The sequence below is a fragment of the Homo sapiens genome, chromosome 1, assembly GCF_000001405.40.
Source record: "Homo sapiens chromosome 1, GRCh38.p14 Primary Assembly".
Classification (NCBI taxonomy): domain Eukaryota; kingdom Metazoa; phylum Chordata; class Mammalia; order Primates; family Hominidae; genus Homo; species Homo sapiens.
Genome location: NC_000001.11, coordinates 204,198,010 through 204,217,342, shown reverse-complemented (window position 1 = coordinate 204,217,342; position 19,333 = coordinate 204,198,010). Strand labels below are relative to the sequence as shown.

Below are 19,333 nucleotides of genomic sequence, written 5' to 3'. Positions count from 1 at the left end.
GAAAATGGGTATATTAACCACCATCTTATGGAACTTTCAAGAAAGACAAATGAGAAAATGGATGAAAATCACTTTGAAAACTCAAATTCACTTCCAAATGTGAGGAAGTGGAAGTGGTGATGTTGCAAAGGCTCCCTGGCCACCTGCAGGGGCCTGATGTGGGAAGAGGGAGAAGGTTTTCCAGGACCCCTCCTTTACTAGCTCTACAGCCTTTGCTGGAAGACATCACCAGGGCCCGTGCCATCCCTGAGGTGTCCCTCCCCTGCCACTTCTATGCCTCCAGCCCAGGGAGTAACTGCACTACCCCACACTTTTCTCATCATGGCAGGGTCATGAGACTGCCATGGGTCGAGGACTAGCACCAGCCTTCCCGGCGTTGTCCCTATGAAGGTCCCTCTCCAGAAGGATGAGTTGTGGACAGCGCCTCTGGGCTTAGCTCCAGTACCCAGAGAATCAGGCCCGGAGGGCCCAGTATCATGAGCGTTTAATTCTCCTGAGCTCACAGGTGGGTTCCATGGCTGGGGGTGGGGGCAGGAAGGGGCATCCCCAGTTGCTATTTTATACACCTGCGGGAGTGGTTTAGCACCACAATTTGAGATGACAGTAGAAGTCTTTCATATAAAGCATATTAACAGTATACTAATAATAACATTAATAACAATAGTAATTATTATAACTATACAGTAACAGGAATAACAGTGGTTCATTAAGTGCTTACTATGTGCCAGGTACCTGGTTCTATGCACTTCACATGCATTTACTCATGAATCCTCATCCTCTATGTCAGTCATAGGTACTATAATTATCCAAGAAGCTGAGGCACAGAAAGGATAAATAAAATGCCCAAGGCTTCACGAAGCCAGGATGAAGCTCTTAACCTACGAGTGATTTCAACAGGGATGATTCTGGCCCCTAGGGGCATTTGGTTGTCTCAATCATAAGGGTGCAAAACTCTTGCTGGCATTTCGAGACTGCAATGCACAGGACAGATTTCCAAAACAAAGAATTGTCCCATATCCTGTACTACTTTCGAATGTACAACTGAACTAAACCCACTACCAGTAAAAGTTGGTCATACTTCAATTGACAGTAATACCAAAAGGTTTTGTAAGCTTTTAAAAATAAATTTCATGAACACTCAGAAAGTTAGGAGATGGTTATTATGGAGCAGAAGCTTAAAAGGAATAAAGACATTGTCTTAAAATTATTGAATAATCTACTCCATGCATTGTCTACACAAAGGATTATAAGATTTCAGCTACTATGTATTTGATTGAAAACAGTTCTGATCAGTAGGTGATACTGAATAAACGAAGAAATTGACTGAAAATATTTAACAGAGGATATGTGAGAGAAGCAAACATGGAATCAGAGACACTTGAGATGCAGAAGATCTCACTGAGTTTCCTTAATAAAAGTTTTTAGGGTTTATTTCATATTATTGCCATCCTTTATATGTTTAGTTTTTTTGGAGCCCAAGGATGCTATGTTGTCATAATTATGTGTGGAAATGTTGTGTCCTGTCTTTACAACACTGTCCCGGGTGTCCACATGCAATTGCTCTAAACCACTTTTATCTTCTTTTCTTTTCCCAATCCATCCTCTATCCCCCATTGCCCATTGGAAATATGTGATCTCTAAGGCCTTTTAAGATCCCAGAGACTGAATTTTACCTCAACGCTGATATGTTTCAAGACAGAGGTTGATGTGTCTGTGGTACTCTATGGCGACCCCATTCCATGGGAGCTATTTTGACAATACACACATACCTAAGACTGAGTTCCTTTGCATGCACATCATACTTCTATATTATCTCCACCTTGTGCTCTCTAATTTGCCTTGCTATGTTATCCCTATTTCAATTAAGATGCTTTCCCTCTCATCATATGCAAGTACGTCTGGTCTGTTATTCCTTATCTAACAGTTTTTATTCTATGTTCACTTCCTGCTACTCTTTCATTTTCTTGCATGTGTGTGATTTTTGTTTTTGCATAGAATGGCTCATCTTCTATTTCTCTTAAATTCAAACATATATTATGTGTGGGTGCAAGCAATCTGCCTATTTCATTTATGTCTTCTGGTAAGTCTTGCCTGAACATTTATATATTGAAAGACATCATGTTTTATTATAATTTATCTTTTTGTTTCTTTTTAAAAAATTATGTTAGCTTTCCTTGGTTTTGTTGTTGTTGTTTGGTTTGTTTTTTTTTGAGACAGGATCTCGCTCTGCTACCCAGGCTGGAGTGCATGGCTTGATCACAGCTCATCGCAGCCTCGACCTTCTGGGCTCAAGCAATCCTCCTACCTTAGCCTCCCCAGTAGCTGGGACTACAGGCAGGTACCACCACATCCGGCTAATTTTTTATTTTTATTATTGTAGAGACAAGGTCTCACTATGTTGCTCAGGCTGGTCTCAAACTCCTGGGCTCAAGCAATCCTCCTGCCTTGGCCTCCCAAAATGCTGGGATTACAGACATAATGCATTTTGTATGCCAGGCCTATTTGCATTTTTAAATGATGTATATAGGTAGTCTTTGAAATTCATTTCTTCATTTCTGGACACAGAAGACATTGCAAAGTGGATGTTGGCTCTCCTGGCATCAATGCCACGTCAGAACCACTGCTCTGCGATGGGAAAAAAGGATGTTAGGAACTAACTGCCTCTCTTTTTGCAGGCCCAAAGGACGAATCCATGTCTACACAGCTGGTGGGTAGACTAGAACCAGGCCTCCTAAATTGTGCAGTCCTGCCCCAACCCCAAATTCAGGGCTTTGTCTTCCATAGCTCAACATCACAGTCAGTCCAAAGCTTGGACGCCGCTTGGGGAAAGGAGGTCGAAGACCTTCACGTCTAACTTCCCCCATGGCGCTTTTGCCATTGATTTAACCCGATCTGGCTCTGCCATTAGGTCAACAACAGGCTTTGTGCTCAGTCGCTCATCGCCTCCCAGCGCCTAGCATGTGCAATAGCAGAGAGCAAAAAGCTTGACTTTCAAGATGAATTTAGTACATTCCCAAAGGGATGCGCAGATGCCAACTCTTCCCACACTATCAAACCAAGCAAGAAACTTGAGCACCCCCTAGATTCCAATGCTTCCACATACAATCTAAGTTTCGCGGAGCAGACGAGAGCCGCAGAACACCGCGAGGTGCGAGGAAAGGGTCAGGTGGGCGGTGCCTTCCCCGGGCAGGCGCGGCAGGTGGAGGGGCGGGGCATTGCCCTACCGGAAAACGGGAGGAGGGAGCTGGCGAGTAGAAGCACCTGCGTGGTGTGCGGGGGTGGAGCGGGGGCTGGAGGGAGAGTTAATGATTTGCCACAGGCTCATTTCGCAACTTAACCAAGGGTCAGCTTCCCGTGACCATGTACCAGCTGCGTCCTCTGGGCCACGCTCCACTTGCCCGCTTCCACCCGGAAAGCCCCCCAGGCTGAGTGCGGCATGATCTCCATCACCGAATGGCAGAGTAAGTGGGATGAGCGGGGCTGCAATGGGCTATCCAGGCCAGGCTCCCTGCCGGCTGGCTCTCTCTCCCAGCTGGGCTCTCTGTCACTACAAGCGTGACCTCTGGAGCCAGGGGCTGGGAGATGCTGTGCTGGCACCCTGGGGCAGCAGGCAGGGTGGGGTGTGGCTCCCTACCCTCCAGCGGGTGGGAGTTGCTCAGGGCCCACAGGTAGCTAGAGGCTGGTGCCCAGGGGGCCTGGCAGGTTCCCCATTCACACTGACCCCTTTCCCATCCCGGGTTCTTAGAACTGGGTTGCCACAAAGGTGGACTCAGGAGGCCTCTGCCCATTCAGACATCTTTCCCCACACCATCAAGGTCTCCTGTGGCCCTGGGGGCTTCTTATAAAAAACTAAACTCCACTCCCCTGACCAAACCACCATACCCTCACTCCTAAACATCCTTCCCCTTCTTTTGGGGGAAGAGGTAGGGAGGAGGTCTTGGAACAAGTCTGGGGCCATGGGAAGAACCGTGGCTCTGTGGGCTTCATTTGGGTGAGTTACTTAAAGCCTCTGAGCCTTGGTTTTTCATCTGAGAATTGGTGACAACATTCTTTTGTTCACTCAACAGATTTGTCTCTGCTGTGTGCCAAGCACTGTGTTGGATATAGAGTGTCCAACATTAAATGAAACTGACTCCCTGCTTACATTCTAGAGAGGGGAGACAGGTAATTAACAGAAAGAAGTATATAGTATATCAGAAGATGATAAGTCCTCCAGATGAAAATAAAACAAGAGGAGGCTATGGAGTTCGAGGTAGGAGGGGTCGCTATTTTATATAGAGTGGTCAGGGAAGCCTCACTGAGAAGGTGAGCCTTTATTCAGATCTTTTTTCAGAGATCTATAGGAAGTGAGGAAGCAAAGCCACGCAGCTCTCTGGAGGGGAAATGTTCAGGAAGCAGGGACAGGCAGTGCAAAGGCCCTGAGGCATTAGCATACTTGGTGTGTTTGAAGAACAACAAGGAGGTGGGTATACCTGGAGCAAAGTGAGGTGAGGGGAGAATCATAGGAGTTTAGGTCAGGGATGTCACTGAGGGGTCAGGACACTGGAGACTTATAGACCATGGTAATGACCTTGGTTTTGTGCTATGGTGTGATATGTTCTATTTCTATGTTTAAAAGATCATTCTGGGTGCTGGGTTGAGAATAGACTGTGGAGGTATGAAGGCAGCAGCAGGGAAGCCAGTTCTTTTTTTTTTTTTTTTTTTTTGAGACAGAGTCTCACTCTGTCGCTCAGGTTGGAGTACAGTGGCATGATCTCTGCTCACTGCAACCTCCACCTCCTGGGTTCAAGCGATTCTCCTGCCTCAGCCTCCTAAGTAGCTGGGGTTACGGGCACCCACCACCACACCTGGCTAATTTTTGTATTTTTAGTAGAGATGGGGTTTCTCCACGTTTACCAGGTTGGTCTCGAACTCCTGACTTCTCAAGTGATCCACCTGCCTGAGCCTCCCAAAGTGCTGGGATTACAGGCGTGAGCCACCGCGCCCAGCCAGGGAAGCCAGTCCTGAGTGTGTGAAGGTGGAGACCAAGGTGTTAGCAGGAGATTAGCGGGGCGTGGTCCATGCTGGATCTGCCTTGAGGAAAGCGTTGAGGATTTGCTGACGGTTTGGACATAGGGTGTGAGAGAAAGAGGAGTCAAGAATGCCTTGTATATTTTTTAGCCTGTGCAATGGGAAGGGTTGAGTGGGGGGAAGCAGGAATTGGGCTTTAGATGTGTTGAGTCTGTTTGTGCTGTTAGACATCCGGGTGAGATGTCAGGTAGGTGGTTGGGTATGTGAGTCTGGAGTTCCAGGTAGAGGCCTGGGCTGGAGACAGAAATGTGGGAATAATCTGCATATACATGGTTTTTAGGACTATGAGCATCCATGAGATCACCGAGGGCAGGCACAGTTTCTCACCTCCCCACTATTGACATTTTGGGGCAGGATAATTCTTTGTTGTGGGGGCCTGTCCTGTACATTATAGGATATCAGCAGCATCCCTGGCCTCTATCCACTACATGCCAGTAGCACCCCCACTCCAAGTTGTGACAATAAAAAATGTCTTCAAACATTGCCAGATGTCCCCTGGGAAACAAATTTCCATCCCGCACCCCGCTTCCCCACCCACAATCCCCTCAGCCCAGTTGAGAATCATGGACCTGGCGAATAAAAATATAGAGAGAGGTGGGTTGGGTCCTCAACCCAGTGGCACGCTGACACTTTGTTAAACCAATTAGCCTGCAAGTAATATACTCTTACCAAATATGATAAGCAAGTCCTGTGAGAGAGAGAAATGAGGGATTTAGGTCAGGGAAGAGAGTGGACCAGCTTTCCCTGAGCAACTGACATTTCAGCTGAGACCTGAATGATGAGGATGCATTGTCAAGTAACAAGTGAGAGGCAGGGTGTTGCAGACCAGGAAACTGCATGTACGAAGGCCCTGAGTCAAGAGGGCTCACATGGAAGCCATGGAGAACAGTGTGGTTGGAGCATGGCAGGCAATAGGGACAGTGGCAGGAGATGAGGTGGGCAGGCAGGCCTGGGCCCCACCAGGCAGGGCCTGTGAGCTGTGGTGTGGATGAGAAGGCTCTGCTGCAGTCTAATCTCAGTGGGCAGCCGTGAAGGAGTCTAGGCAGTATGCTAACATGATCAGGTTGTATGTTTTGCAAGACCTTTGAGCGCCGTGTGGAGAAGGACTGGGAGGGTGCAGGAATAAAGCAGGAGGCCAAATGGGGGCTGCTGCATACGTCCAGGAAAGAGATGATCGTGGCCGGGAATTAGGTGTTAAGAATGGAGAGAAATGGACAGCTTTCAACATGTATCTTGGAAGAAGAAAAGAAAACTTAGCTGTGGATTTCATGGGGGAGGGGTGGGCTTCTGCGTTAAGTGGTGGGGTGGGCGGTGGTGACATGTTTACTCATTTGAGGACAACCAAGGGAGGCACAAGTTGAAGGAGGGAAGATAAATAGACCAGTTTGGGATTGAAGATTAGCCCAGTTCAAGATGGCTGAGAGAAAACCAGGCAGATATGCCAAGTAAGCAGCTAGATATGAGTTTCAAAGCCCAAAGAGAGGCATGGACTAGAAAGAGAGACATCAGTGTCATCAGCATACAAGGGAGGTTTGAAGACGTGAGAGGCTGGGTGTGGTGGCTCATGCCTGTAATCTCAGCACTTTGGGAGGATCGCTTGAGGCCAGGAGTTCAAGACCAGCCTGAGCACATTGCAAAACCCCTGTCTCAACAACAAAAAAATTTAAACCAATTTTAAAAAATTAGCTGGGCATGGTGGCCAAGTGCCTGTAGTCCCAGCTACTCAGGAGACTGAGGTAGAAGGATCCCTTGAGCCCAGGAGTTCAAGGCTGCAGTGAGCTATGATTGTGCCATTGCACTCCAGCCTAGGCAACAGAGCGAGATCCCAGCTTTAAGACAAAATTAAAAACAAAAATAAACACATGGGAATACATGTGGAAATAGAATGAGAAGAGAAGTGAGCTTGGGCACAAGCCCTGTGCAATTCAAATCCCAAGAAGAAGAGAGAGAAGTAGGAGCTGGCAGAGGAGACAGAGAAAGGGCAGTTAGAGCAGTAGGAAGAAAATCAAGAACGTGTTGTGCACAAACCAAGAGAAAGGCTGTTTCAACACGGCAGTGGTCAGTTCTAACAGATGATGGTTCACACCTGCCCATTGGATCTGGTAACATGAAGGTCATTAATGGCCAAGGCAAGAGCATTGCCTGCAGAAGTGGACTGGACTGGGTTGGTTAAAGGCACTTTTTATTTTTTGTTTTGTTTTGTTTTTGGTTTTTGAGATGGAGTTTCACTCTTGTTGCCCAGGCTAGAGTGCAATGGCATGATCTTGGCTCACTGCAACCTCTGCCTCCCGGGTTCAAGCGATTCTCCTGCCTCAGCCTCCCAAGTAGCTGGGATTACAAGTGCCCGCCACCTCACCGGCTAATTTTTTGTATTTTTAGTAGAGACGGGGTTTCATCATGTTGGCCAGGCTGGTCTCGAACTCCTGACCTCAGGTGATGATCCACCCACCTCGGCGTCCCAAAGTGTTGGGATTATAGGTGTAAACCACCGTGCCTGCCCAAAAGGCACTGTTTGGAGCTCAAGACTAAGTTCAAATCCTGCTTCTGCCAGCTGCTGTGTATCCCCAGGCAAGTGACTTAACCTCTGTGTTTCAGTTTTGTTTGTGAAATGGTGCTAATAGTAGTACCTATGTCACAGGTAGTTATGAAAATTAAATGTGTTAATATACTTAAAGCATATATGTGCTTAGACTGTGCCTGGCCCAGTATGTTCATTACACTATCAATCACTATTGCTAATTTTAAAAAGTGAATGAGGCTCTTTCTCTCCTTATTTCCCTCCTTCCTCTTCCTGAACAATTCAGTCTTAAAGCCATTAGGTTTAACACAGAGAAGGCGGTGCCCAGAGTGGGGTGTTAGAACCCCAGCAGGGTGAGAAGGGTGTTCACACTAGGGGTGGCCTGGTACAAAGTATCATAGGCAAAGCATCCCCTGCAGGGTCAGGGATGGGGTGGTGAGGGGCCTGGCAGATACTGCCTTAAGAATAAAGAAACATTATCAGCTATGGGGCAAATTGACATCTTGCACCACCTACCAGGATGCAGTGAGAAAAATACAGCATCACATCTTGTGCTATTTCTGCCTAAGATGCATAACCTGAAGCTAGTCGTGAGGAAACATCCGACAAACCCAAATGGAGGGATGGCTACAGAATAAGTGGCCTGAATCTTCAAAAGTGTCAAGGTCATGCCAAGGAAAGACCAAGGAGCTGTTCCAGACAGAAGAGTTTAAAGAGACATGATCATTAAATACCACACAGAATGATGAACTGGATTATTTTGCTATAAATGATGCTACTGGAGTAACTGATGAAACTTAAATGGAGTCTGAGGGTTGGAGGATAGTCACATATCAATGTTAGTGTCCCAATTTTGATGGCTGTATGTTGGCTGTTTAGGAGAATTTTTTGTTTGCTTGTTTATTTCAATAGGTTTTTGGGGAACAGGTGGTTGGTTACATGAATAAGTTCTTTAGTGTGATTTCTGAGATTTTGGTGCACCCATCACCCGAGCAGTGTACATTGTACCCAATGTGTAGTCTTGTATCCTTCAGCCCCTCCTACCCTTTCCCATGAGTCCCCAAAGTCTATTGTATCATTCTTATGCCTTTGCATCCTCATTGCTTAGCTCCCACTTGTGAGTGAAAACATATGATGTTTGCTTTTCCATTCCGGAGTCACTTCACTTAGAATAATGATCTCCAATTCCATCCAGGTTGCTGCGAATGCCATTATTTCATTCCTTTTTGTGACTGAGTAGTAGTTCATTTTTTATATATATATATATATATATATATACACACACACACACACAAGTATACATATATACACACATATGTATACATATACACATATGTATACATATATACATATATGTATACATATGTGTGTATATGTGTATAGATACACACATATATACATACATGTGTGTATATATGTATACATATATATGTATATGTGTGTGTATATATATACACATCACAATTTATTTATACACTCATTGACTAATGGGCATTTGGGCTGGTTTCATATTTTTGCAATTCCAAACTGTGCTGCTAGAAACAGGCATGTGCAAGTATCTTTTCCGTATAATGATTTATTTTCCTCCGGGGAGATACCCAGTAGTGGGATTGCTGGATGAAATGGTAGTTCTACTTTTAGTTCTTTAAGGAATCTCCACACTGTTTTCCATAGTGGCTATTCTAGTTTACATTCCCACCAGCAGTGTAGAAGTGTTCCCTGTTCACCACATCCACGCCAACATTTATTTTTGTTTGTTTGTTTTTTGATTATGGCCATTCTTGCAGGAGTAAGGTGGTATCACATTGTGGTTTTGATTTGCACTTCCCTGATCATTAGTGATGTTGGGCATTTTTTCATGTTTGTTGGCTGTTTGTATATCTTCTTTTGAGAATTGTCTATTCATGTCCTTAGTGTCCAGGAGTTTTAAAAACCACACCAGAGCATTCAGGGGTGATGAGGTATGAGGTGGCAACTACTTTCAAATGGTTCAAGAAAAATATTCTTTGTACTGTACTTGCAAGTTTCCTGTACATGTGTGATTGCTTTAAGAAAAGGAAAAGGGGGAAAAAAGACGATGATGTTCTGAGACTCACTGCGTGCCTGAGGCCAGAAGGACTCATCTGCCTGCTCCATGAGATATTGTTTTCTTGGAGCTGTAGCTGATTTCTGGAGCAAGAAAGACATTGAACCTGGCTTTTCTTAAAGTGAGCCACAAAATGGGGAGTCAGGGAAGCCTGGCTTGTCCGTATCGGGTGGCCATGGGCTCTTCTTGGCAGCAACTCGGGAGTTGCAGAGCAAGGAGCTAAACAAGGGCACCAGTGCAGCCATCAGTGTACCTTGCCAGGGAGATCTAAAGCTGGTCTCTGAGGTCTGGGGAGGTCTCCACTTCTAGGTGGCGCCTGGAGAGCCGGGCCTCCCTGAAGTTACCTTGGCCTCCCAGCTTTTTTCGGCTGGGTGTAGGCGTGACAGCCCTGGCCGCCTCCAGCAGAGGGCGCGCTGCCCAATCTGTCTGGATCACGGGGACCGTGCCGGGCAGGCACACCTGTCACTCCTGGGGGCATCTGTATGACATCCCCACCCCTCCACTCTTTCTGCCATGGTTGCTGCCTGAAAAGAACTTTAGGAGTAACCTCTGGCTGGATAACTTGACTAAAATAGCTAAGCTACTCCAGAAGCAAGAGGCAAAGGCGGGTCTGAAGCTTGTGTGTGAGAAACAGAGTTTCTGACCCTTTTCTGTGGGGTTTCGTGTCCCACTGAGCACTGAGAGCACTAAGTGTGGCCCATAAAGAAGGCTGCCCCCATCACAGGAGAGTCCTGGAATTGCATCTGCCCTTAAAGAAGAGTGTAGAACAGGTGGAGGAGGGATAACTATGGCAGCCAGCAAATCACTGCTGCAGAAGAAGAAGGAATAAACAGGAGAATGGACATCATGTGTGAATGTGAGAAACTTACGCTGTTTCCACAAAATGAGTATGAGGCTGTTCTTAAGTGTGTGCAGGATGAACATATAGAAAGTTCAACAAAACGAAATGAAAACCCCGTAAAATGTGCACATCGTGTTTCCACACAAATACACCTACTGAGGGGGAGGAAAGGGTGTATAGTCAGAGCTGAAATCAATGACAGATGTTTTTATGGCAGGCATAAGCCAACAACAGATATTTTATAACAAGCATAAAAACCTAAAACACTTTTATCATTTGGGTTAAAGAAAGATGACTGTGGTCTTCCTCCACAATATTCTGACCTACACGAAATTATCTTGGTAATTCAGGTAGATGTAACTCTAGATTCTCAATGTGTTGTCTCTGAGGATGGAAATGTTGACAAAACACAACCTTCATCATGACCCATGGGGGTGATATTCTGCTGAGCTGTCCCAGCTTCTAAGAGATTTAATTCAGGCCAGCAGGAGGAGGTAGAAGTAGGAAACAAGCCCAAATAGATCACGAGGCTTGTCAGGAACACAAGGAATCAGCTTTTAGTAGAAAATGGATTCTGGGCAGCTGGGTGATATGTTGAGAGAAATTATGTTACACTGGGTCCCAACAAAATCCAGCTTCTGCCAAAAGTGAGATCCAGTAAGACTGGCATGATACCAGACTATGAGTTGAGCAAGGTTTCAGTCTATAATTTGAATGCTAGATCTTATCACTGTATTTTTCTGTTTTCTTTTTTTTTGAGATGGAGTTTTGCTCTTGTTACCCAGGCTGGAGTGCAGTGGCATAATCTCGGCTCACTGCAACCTCCACCTCCCGGGTTCAAGCAATTCTCCTGCCTCAGCCTCCCACGTAGCTGGGACTAGAGACGCATGCCACCATGTCCAGCTAATTTTTGTATTTTTAGTAGAGACGGGGTTTCACCATGTTGGCCAGGCTGGCCTTGAACTCCTGACTTCAAGTGATCCACCCACATCAGCCTCCCAAAGTGCTGGGATTACAGGTGTGAGCCATTGAGCACCTGGCTTCATTGCTGTATTTTTGATGATTCTTTTAAAGAAGCTCTTTGACCTTTTTTCTGTATTGGAATTGATCCTAATCCTCTTAAAATCTGCATAGCAACAGATGATGGATTAACTACCCAGAAGATGATTATGTTGTTTCATTTTCTTTCAGTTGTAAATAAAACTCAGCCAGTAAATCTAGTCTTGATAATTTTGTTTTTGTTTTTACAATTCTGCCTCTAAACACCAGAATAATTTTTCCCCTCACTTTTAACAACTATCTGCAAAAGCATAATAATAATACCAATTTCATAGAGGTTATGAGAACTGATTCTAACAAGTCCAGTAAAATTTTTGACGAGGGCATCAAGACCATGAAATGGGGAAAGAACAGTCTTTCCAACAGATAGTGCTGGGAAAACTGGATATCCACATGCAAAAGATGCAGGTGGATCCTTACCTTATACTATCTGCAAAAAGTAACTCAAAGCAGATCAAAGCCCTAAAAATAAGAGCTAAAACTATAAAACTCTTAGAATAAAAAATAGGGGAAAGCATTACAGCACTGGATTTGATAATGATTTCTAGGTTATGACATGAAAAGCACAGACAACAAAAGAAAAAAAAGACATCAATCAGACTACATCAAAATTTAAAACTTCACCGCATCAAAGGACACAGTCAACAGACTGAAAGGTAACCTACAGAGTGGGAGGAAATATTTGCAAATCATACGCTACATAGTTAATATCCAAAATATATAAAGAACTCCTACAACTCAACAACAAAAAGAACAACCTGTTTAAAAAATAGGCAAAGGACTTAACTAGACAATTCTCCAAAGAAGATATACACATAGCTAACAAGCACATGAAAAGATCATTAATCATTAATCATTAGGGAAATGTAAGTCAAAACCACAATGTATACTACCTTATACCCATTAGCATGGCTGCTATCAAAACAAAACAAAACAGATAAAGTATTGGCAAGATGTGGAGAAATTAGAACTCTTGTGTACTGTTGCTGGGAATGTTAAATGGTGCAGTCACAATGGAAAACAAAATGGCAATTCCTCAAAGAATTAAAAATAGAATTACCATGTGATCCAGTATAATTCCGTTAATTCCACTTTGTGGGGTATATACCTGAAAGGATCGGAAGCAGTGTCTTGAAGAGATATTTTCTTATGCTCATATTTATGGTAACACTATTTACAATAGGTAAGAGATGGATGGAAGCCACCCAGATGTCCATCAACAGATGAATGGATCAACAAAATGCAGGGTACAGATAGCAATGGACTATTATTCTGTTTTAAAAAGGAAGAAAATTCAGACACATGCTACAACATGAAGGAACCTTGAGAACGTTATGATAAGTGAAATAAGACAGTCACAAAAAGACAAATATTGTATGATTCCACTTATAGGAGGTTCCCAGAGTAGTCAAAAATTCATAGAGAAAGTAAAATGGTGGTTGTTGGAGGCTGGTGGGAGGGGAATGGGGAGCTACTGTTTAATGGGTGTAGAGTTTCAGCTTTGCAAGACGAAGAATTCAGGAGATGCGCTTAATACCACTGAACTGTACATTTTTAAATGGTTAGATGGTAAGTCTCATTTTATGTGCACGTTGCCACAATTTAAAACTTAAAAAGGTAACAATTTAAAAACAAAGCAACAGAATGAATTTTTATTTATTGACTATCATAGTGGCAAAGATAAGTAAAATGAACAATTCTGAGTGCTGGAGAGGGTTAAGGAAAAAAGGAACTATATATCCGGTTATTGTACAAATCGTCTTGAGGGGAGCGATCTGAAATATGTTTATCAAAATGTCAAAAATGTAGCCCTTGACCAAACGAGGGGGCCTTCATGTCCTGCACTTCTAGGCTACGCTTGCTGGCTCTGAGTGAACTCCTGCAGCTTCAAAGAATGCCCTGAGACACTTACAAACCTTGGGAATGGGGGCTTACTGTCAAACCTTGGGAATGGGGGCTCACTGTCAAACCTTGGGAATGGGGGCTCATTGTCAGTGTGGGTCCAACCTCGGCAGAACTGCCCAAAGCCACTGGGCTGAAATGAGAGTTGGCCGAAGAGTGTGTGGGGGGCCCGCAAGGTGCCTGCTGCAGGAGGGAGGGAGGACAATGGGAGCAGGTGCAGGCTTGGGTCTTGGATATAGGTCCCAGCTGAGAAGAGGAATGCATTCCTAACTGATGACTTCTGTTTTCCCAATCCAGTGGGAAATGTCACCACCTGAGAGTGGAGACAGGGCAATTCTGAGGAGGAAGGAGGCAGTGTGGAGAGTTGCTCAGGCGGGCCAGCCTCTTGAGTAAGGACCAGGAGAGCTGGGTGGTTCTGAGGCTCTTTGGAGCTGGTGGTCCTGAGTTTTCAGTGGCTCCCTTCTGCGCAGTGTGGGCTGGGCTCCAGTGGTTCTCAGTTGCACAAGGCAGGAGCAGAGGCAGCAGATGCTATGTTCAGCCTTGATACTGATGTGGATAATGTGGCTTTTGAGGACAAGAGGAGGCTGAGAGTATAAAGTGGTCAGGGCAGCACCAGCTTCCACACAGGGCTGCAGTGAGGACAGCATGCCACTGTGTACAGAAGTGACAGCACAGTTCCCAGGTGCCAGACAAAGCTTCATGCCATCCTACCTTCCCCTTCCCATCCCACCATCCCCTGAGAGCATGAAAGCTGAGATTCCTGGATGGAAGTGGAGTCACCCCCATAGAGGGCACCTGTCCTGTGGCAATGGGGGAAGTTTCAGGGTCCCCACCTGCTCCCCAAAGCCCTTTCCTCCACCACCTCCTTGCCCATTGCAGAGATTGGTGTGGGGATCACCGGTTTCGGCATCTTCTTCATCCTCTTTGGAACACTCCTGTACTTTGATTCCGTGCTCCTGGCCTTTGGAAACGTGAGTCTCCCAGCCCTGTGTCCCCACTCCCCTGCCCCAACCTTTCTGAAGTCTCTATTGCCAGGATAGTCCTGGCAATAAAGACTTACAGTTTATTTAAGTCTTTAAATAAATCCCTTAAGTAAATCCCAAGTTTATTCAGACCATGCCTATCCAGGGGTCAGACATCATCAAGCCTGGGCAGAGGAGGGCACAGGAAATGGACGCAGAGCCCGCTGGCACCAAGAATCTGAGGACCTGGATTCTCACACCGAGCTCTGGGCGAGACCCTGGGGGTTCTAAGAGGACTCAGACACTGTCCCTGCCATCTGAATCCCACTCTAGGGCTAGAGATATAACATGACATACATGGCTGGGAGGAAGGCAGGGGCCATGGTAAACACATTTAGTATGAAACAAGGGGCTTAGTGGAAAGAGGGCACACTGAATTGGAGAATGGTGGAGAGGAATTTGGAAAGGAAATGGGTGTGGAGGTGAATAAAGCACTTCCAGGGGGATTGGAACAGCAGGAGAAAAGGTGTGGGGAAGGAGCAGGGAAGCATGGGATATGCTGGAAGAAAACCAGAGAGTTCAATTTGATGAGAGCCTGGGCACTCTTAAGGGATTCATTAGGAGCCAAGCTGAAGACGGTGATAGGGCATCCAGGGGAGGGACTGGAGGGTTATTCTGTAGGCAGTGGAGCCTCTGAAGGTTCTGTGTGACTTTCAGTATGGCTGCCTAACCTACTTAGGCCTCAATCTTCACTTCTTTGGAATAAAAATCCCTCCCGATTCCATCTTCCCCAGATGGTATGGTGAGAAACCAAGTCCCATATGAAAAATGCTTGGGCTCCAGGGAATTGGGTAGGCAACTAGAAACCGTCAAAGGTTTCTCATCCATCCCCCTGCCTCTGCGCAGTCCTGTTCCCAGCCAGCAAGACTTATCAAGGCTCTGGGATTCTGCCACACTGCTGGATGGCCCTCGCTCAGATGGTCTTGAACAGTTAGCACATCCTGTCCCAGCCCACCGCCTGGCTCCAGGCCTAAGTCCCTCACTCCTCAGGGGGCTGGTGGGTTTGCTTCATGCTCCCCTCCCTCCCCTACAGCTGCTGTTCCTGACGGGCCTGTCCCTCATCATTGGCCTGAGGAAGACCTTTTGGTTCTTCTTCCAACGGCACAAACTCAAGGGAACCAGCTTCCTCCTGGGGGGTGTGGTTATCGTGCTCCTACGCTGGCCCCTCCTCGGCATGTTCCTGGAAACCTACGGATTCTTCAGCCTCTTTAAGTGAGTGCAAATCCCTATAACCCTGGACAGACCCACCAAAGTGTCTGAGTGGCTGAGATCACCCCAGCAGGGAGTGCAGAAGCTGGGACTTTATCCTGCAAGAGATGAGAACCATGGACACCTTGGAAAGGCCCCCTAAAGTAGGCTGAAGGGTACTTTGGAGGGATTAGCCCATCCATCAACAAATACTGATAGAGTGCCGACTGTGTTCCCAGCACTGTGCCCCCAGCACTGTGCCTGTGAGCAGGGAAGAGACACGAGGCCTGCCCTCAAATCTCAGTGATCCAGCCGGAGAGGAAGGGCAGTGAGCTAACATGTTCCAGGCACACTCATGATCATCATCTTATTTTATCACAACAACCCACTATAGGATTATCCTCTACTTCATAGATAAGGAAACCAACACTCAGAGAAGTTGCCCCCGGCCCAAAGTCTCAAACTAGTATGTGAAAAAGGTCGCCCTTAACCCAGGGAGCTCTGGCTCCTGACCCCTGTGTCATCCCCTGGCCAGGCCTGTGTCAGCCCTGGGCCTGGGAAAAGGCAGGGTGGAACTCAGCCATGATGTGTGGCCACTGTCAGGCCTGTAGGCACTTAGAGGGGAGCCCAGGGTAGTGTCATAGAGGAAGCAGGACTTGAGAGAAGCCTTGAGGGATGGGTAGGGTCTAAGAGAAGACTGGAGGGCACTGAAGGAAAAGGAAGGAAGGAGTCTCAGAGAAAGTGGGGGTGGGAAGGAAGACTTCATATGTCTACACGGTGGTGTGGAGAGAATAGGGGTGGGATTGGGACAATGGACCCTGGAAGAATGATGGCTTCTGCAATCATGGAAAGGTGTGGGGCTCAGGAATCCCCAGGTTCTCACAGGAGCCCCCGTTTGCTGAAGGCAGCCCTGAAACCCCCTGATTAGCCTGAATGGCCTAGGCCTCAGAGACTTTGGGAAGTGTGGCTTTAAAGTTTCTCATGCATACCTGCCATCTATTTATTCCATATTCAAATATGTCATTTTATGGCTGGGTGCAGTGGCTCACACCTATAATCCCAGCACTTTGGGAGGCCGAGGCAGGCGGATCACTTGAGGTCAGGAGTTCGAGAACAGACTAGCCAACATAGTGAAACCCTGTTTCTACTAAAAATACAAAAAAAAATTAGCCAGGCTTGGTGGCAAGTGCCTGTAATCCCAGCTACTCGGGAGGCTGAGACACAAGAATTGCTTAAACGCAGGGGGCGAAGGTTGCAGTGAGACAAGATCACACCACTGCCTCCAGCCTGGGTGACAGACCGAGACTCTCTCTCTCAAAAAAAAAAAAACAAAAACATATATATATATATATATATACACATATATGTCATTTTCAAACAGTCGCTTATTCAAATTGTCAAATATATAATAAGCACCTACTGCATGCCAAATACAGGGCCAGGTGTGAGGATGTGGCACTGAATGAGGAGAAAGTTCCTAAGGAATTTACAATTTAGTAGGGAAGACCCATAAATAAATTCTGACAACAGTTAGCATTTATGGAGGGCTTAGAAAGTGGAGTGGGACAGCAGCAAATTCAATAGTTCAAACTGAAAGTCAGCCTTGACAAAGACACTGTGCAGTAACACAGGAGGCAAACAAATTACAGCTATCAGGGACCTCAGAGTGCAGTGAAACCTTGGAAAATTGAGGCCCACGGTAAGGAAGTGGCTCAGCCAGAATCCATATTTCAAATCTCCCTTCCCATCCGCCACACACCGGGATCCCTTCCCATGCCAGCCTTGGCACCTCCAAGCCCTGTGAGGGGTCACGCATGTGTCTGCAGTCAGGCCTTGGCAGGGTATCTTTGATGAGAGCAGGGTTGCCAAAGGCAGGGGTGGCTGTGTGCCTGGGGGAGCCAGGGCACCAGGGAGTGTAACGGTGAGCATGGCTTCCAACAGCCCCCGACGCCCAGGGCCCAGGACACCCGGGGCAGGTGGATCTCAGGAAGAGAAGAAAGCTTTAGGCCAGAAGAGTCATAATCATGAGAGTAACAATAATAAAAATAAGCACTTCCTGAGCATTTCTTTGTACGTGGCCTTATGATGTAGATACTGTTATTGTTAGCCACATTTTATGGCTGGAAATTGAGATTCAGAGAAGTTAAGGAATTTGCCCAAGTGTATATGGTGCCAGTAAGTGGTAGAGCCAAGAAGTGAACCCAAGGAGTGTGACCCTGGGGCCTTCATTCTTAATCATGTCACTCGACTGTCTCTCGGAACACAGGAGTGCAGAATCAAGCCTGTCCCTGGTGTGTGGAAGCCAGAGCTTGAACCTTTCAGTGGACCTCAGCCTCGTGCCCTCTATCCTCTCTTCCTGGGCCATCACTGACTCCTCCCTTCTCCCCTCTGCTCCTAGGGGCTTTTTCCCTGTCGCCTTCGGCTTCCTGGGCAATGTCTGCAACATCCCCTTCCTGGGTGCGGTAAGCAGATGATGCCTGCAGCCCTGCGGGCGTACCCTGGGGAGTGAGGGGGAGCACACGGAGGGGAGCTGGTAAAACTGCTGCCCCAGGGGCAGTGGCCTCTCCCCTGTCTCCCCTCAGACCCCCTAGCCCAGGTTTGGTGCTTTAGGCTCCTCTTCCCCCCGCACCTTCTCCATTTGACAAGAGCCCATGAGGAGAGGGGATCCAGACGCAGTTGTAGCTGAGTGTGGCTGTAGAGGCAGGTAGCTATGAATAGCTTCCTGTTTACAGCCAAAGAAATGAAGACGCAGAGACTCTAGGTGACTCAGCCAGGACATGCCTGAGATTTCTGGGGATCTGGCTAAGTGCGGGCCCCAGGCATGGAGAGAATGTATGACAGCTGATGACAGCAGGAAAAGCTGTCCTGCAGGTGGCAGATTTTGTCCTCTCCTGGGGATAGGCACAGCCACTGGTATCCAGCCCCTGCCCCTCCTTATCCCTTTCTCTGAAGCACCTGGCAGAATGTGAGCTCTCTGAGGAGCCCAGGGAGACCCTACAGCCAGCACCCCACCACAACCGCCAGCTGGACACAGCCCCTACAGCCCCTCTCGTATCTGCGCCTGGCACAGCTCCTGGCTCTCAAGGCCAGCTCTGTAATAACTAGATATTGCATCTGCTCTCTACCCTTTGTGTGGAGTAATGATTCTTGGCTCCCACAGCTGTTCCGGAGACTTCAAGGCACTAGCTCGATGGTCTGAAAAACAGAGATGAGCTCCTTGAACTTGGATCATTGGTTGAGGGGGCTAGAGGGAGAATGGGAACCACCCCCTCAGTCCCCTGCACTGACTCACTCCCCGACATATCCGGACCTCCCCAAGTCCAGAAGGAAGGAATGGAGCTGAGCAACTGACGTCAAATCCCCAAGTCGACTCAAGAGGCTGCCAGGAAGCAGAGATGCAGACCCCAAGGAGACTGGGCTGGGGCTGGTATCACACCCTCACTCTATATTTATGGGAGGAAAAGTGAAGATTAAATTCCCAAGTTGTGCGTGTGTCTAAGGCTCAGAGTTGGCGTCTTTGGCCGGGCGCGGTGGCTCACACCTATAATCCCAGCACTTTGGGAGGCTGAGGTGGGCAGATCACCTGAGGTCAGAACTTCGAGACCAGCCTGGCCAACATGGTGAAACCCCGTCTCTACTAAAAATAC

The 19,333-nt window shown here is 46.9% G+C and overlaps 1 protein-coding gene and 1 pseudogene across 2 annotated transcripts, besides 1 other annotated feature; both read left to right on the top strand.

The window, feature by feature from the left end:
• Positions 2,828-3,484: an enhancer, noted in NCBI's record as "H3K27ac-H3K4me1 hESC enhancer chr1:204182987-204183643 (GRCh37/hg19 assembly coordinates)". NCBI's record gives its function as "activates a minimal SCP1, AML or CMV promoter by ChIP-STARR-seq in primed H9 embryonic stem cells {active_cell/tissue: H9 hESC(primed)}" and the evidence as "EXISTENCE:reporter gene assay evidence [ECO:0000049][PMID:30033119]".
• Positions 3,355-19,180, top strand: GOLT1A (golgi transport 1A). Of its 2 annotated transcripts, none has more exons than XM_017000314.2 (5): positions 3,355-3,461; positions 14,356-14,447; positions 15,532-15,710; positions 18,085-18,148; positions 19,005-19,180. In XM_017000314.2, exons 1-5 carry the CDS (start codon positions 3,437-3,439, stop codon positions 19,035-19,037), a joined length of 393 nt encoding a protein of 130 aa, XP_016855803.1. In that variant the 5' UTR covers positions 3,355-3,436; the 3' UTR covers positions 19,038-19,180. The 2 variants fall into 2 exon arrangements, with proteins under 2 accessions (XP_016855803.1, NP_940849.1); NM_198447.2 differs by having other exon boundaries at positions 18,847-19,180.
• On the top strand, positions 10,054-11,240 carry LOC100420418 (tripartite motif containing 60 pseudogene; annotated as a pseudogene).

Bases quoted from the DNA above. Each gene is read 5' to 3' on its own strand.
- GOLT1A (NM_198447.2), top strand. From the start codon at position 3,437: ATGATCTCCATCACCGAATGGCAGA. The intron at 15,711-18,084 runs GTGAGTGCAAAT...CTCTGCTCCTAG, and splicing joins GGATTCTTCAGCCTCTTTAA to GGGCTTTTTCCCTGTCGCCT. The intron at 18,149-18,846 runs GTAAGCAGATGA...TGGCTCCCACAG, and splicing joins ACATCCCCTTCCTGGGTGCG to CTGTTCCGGAGACTTCAAGG.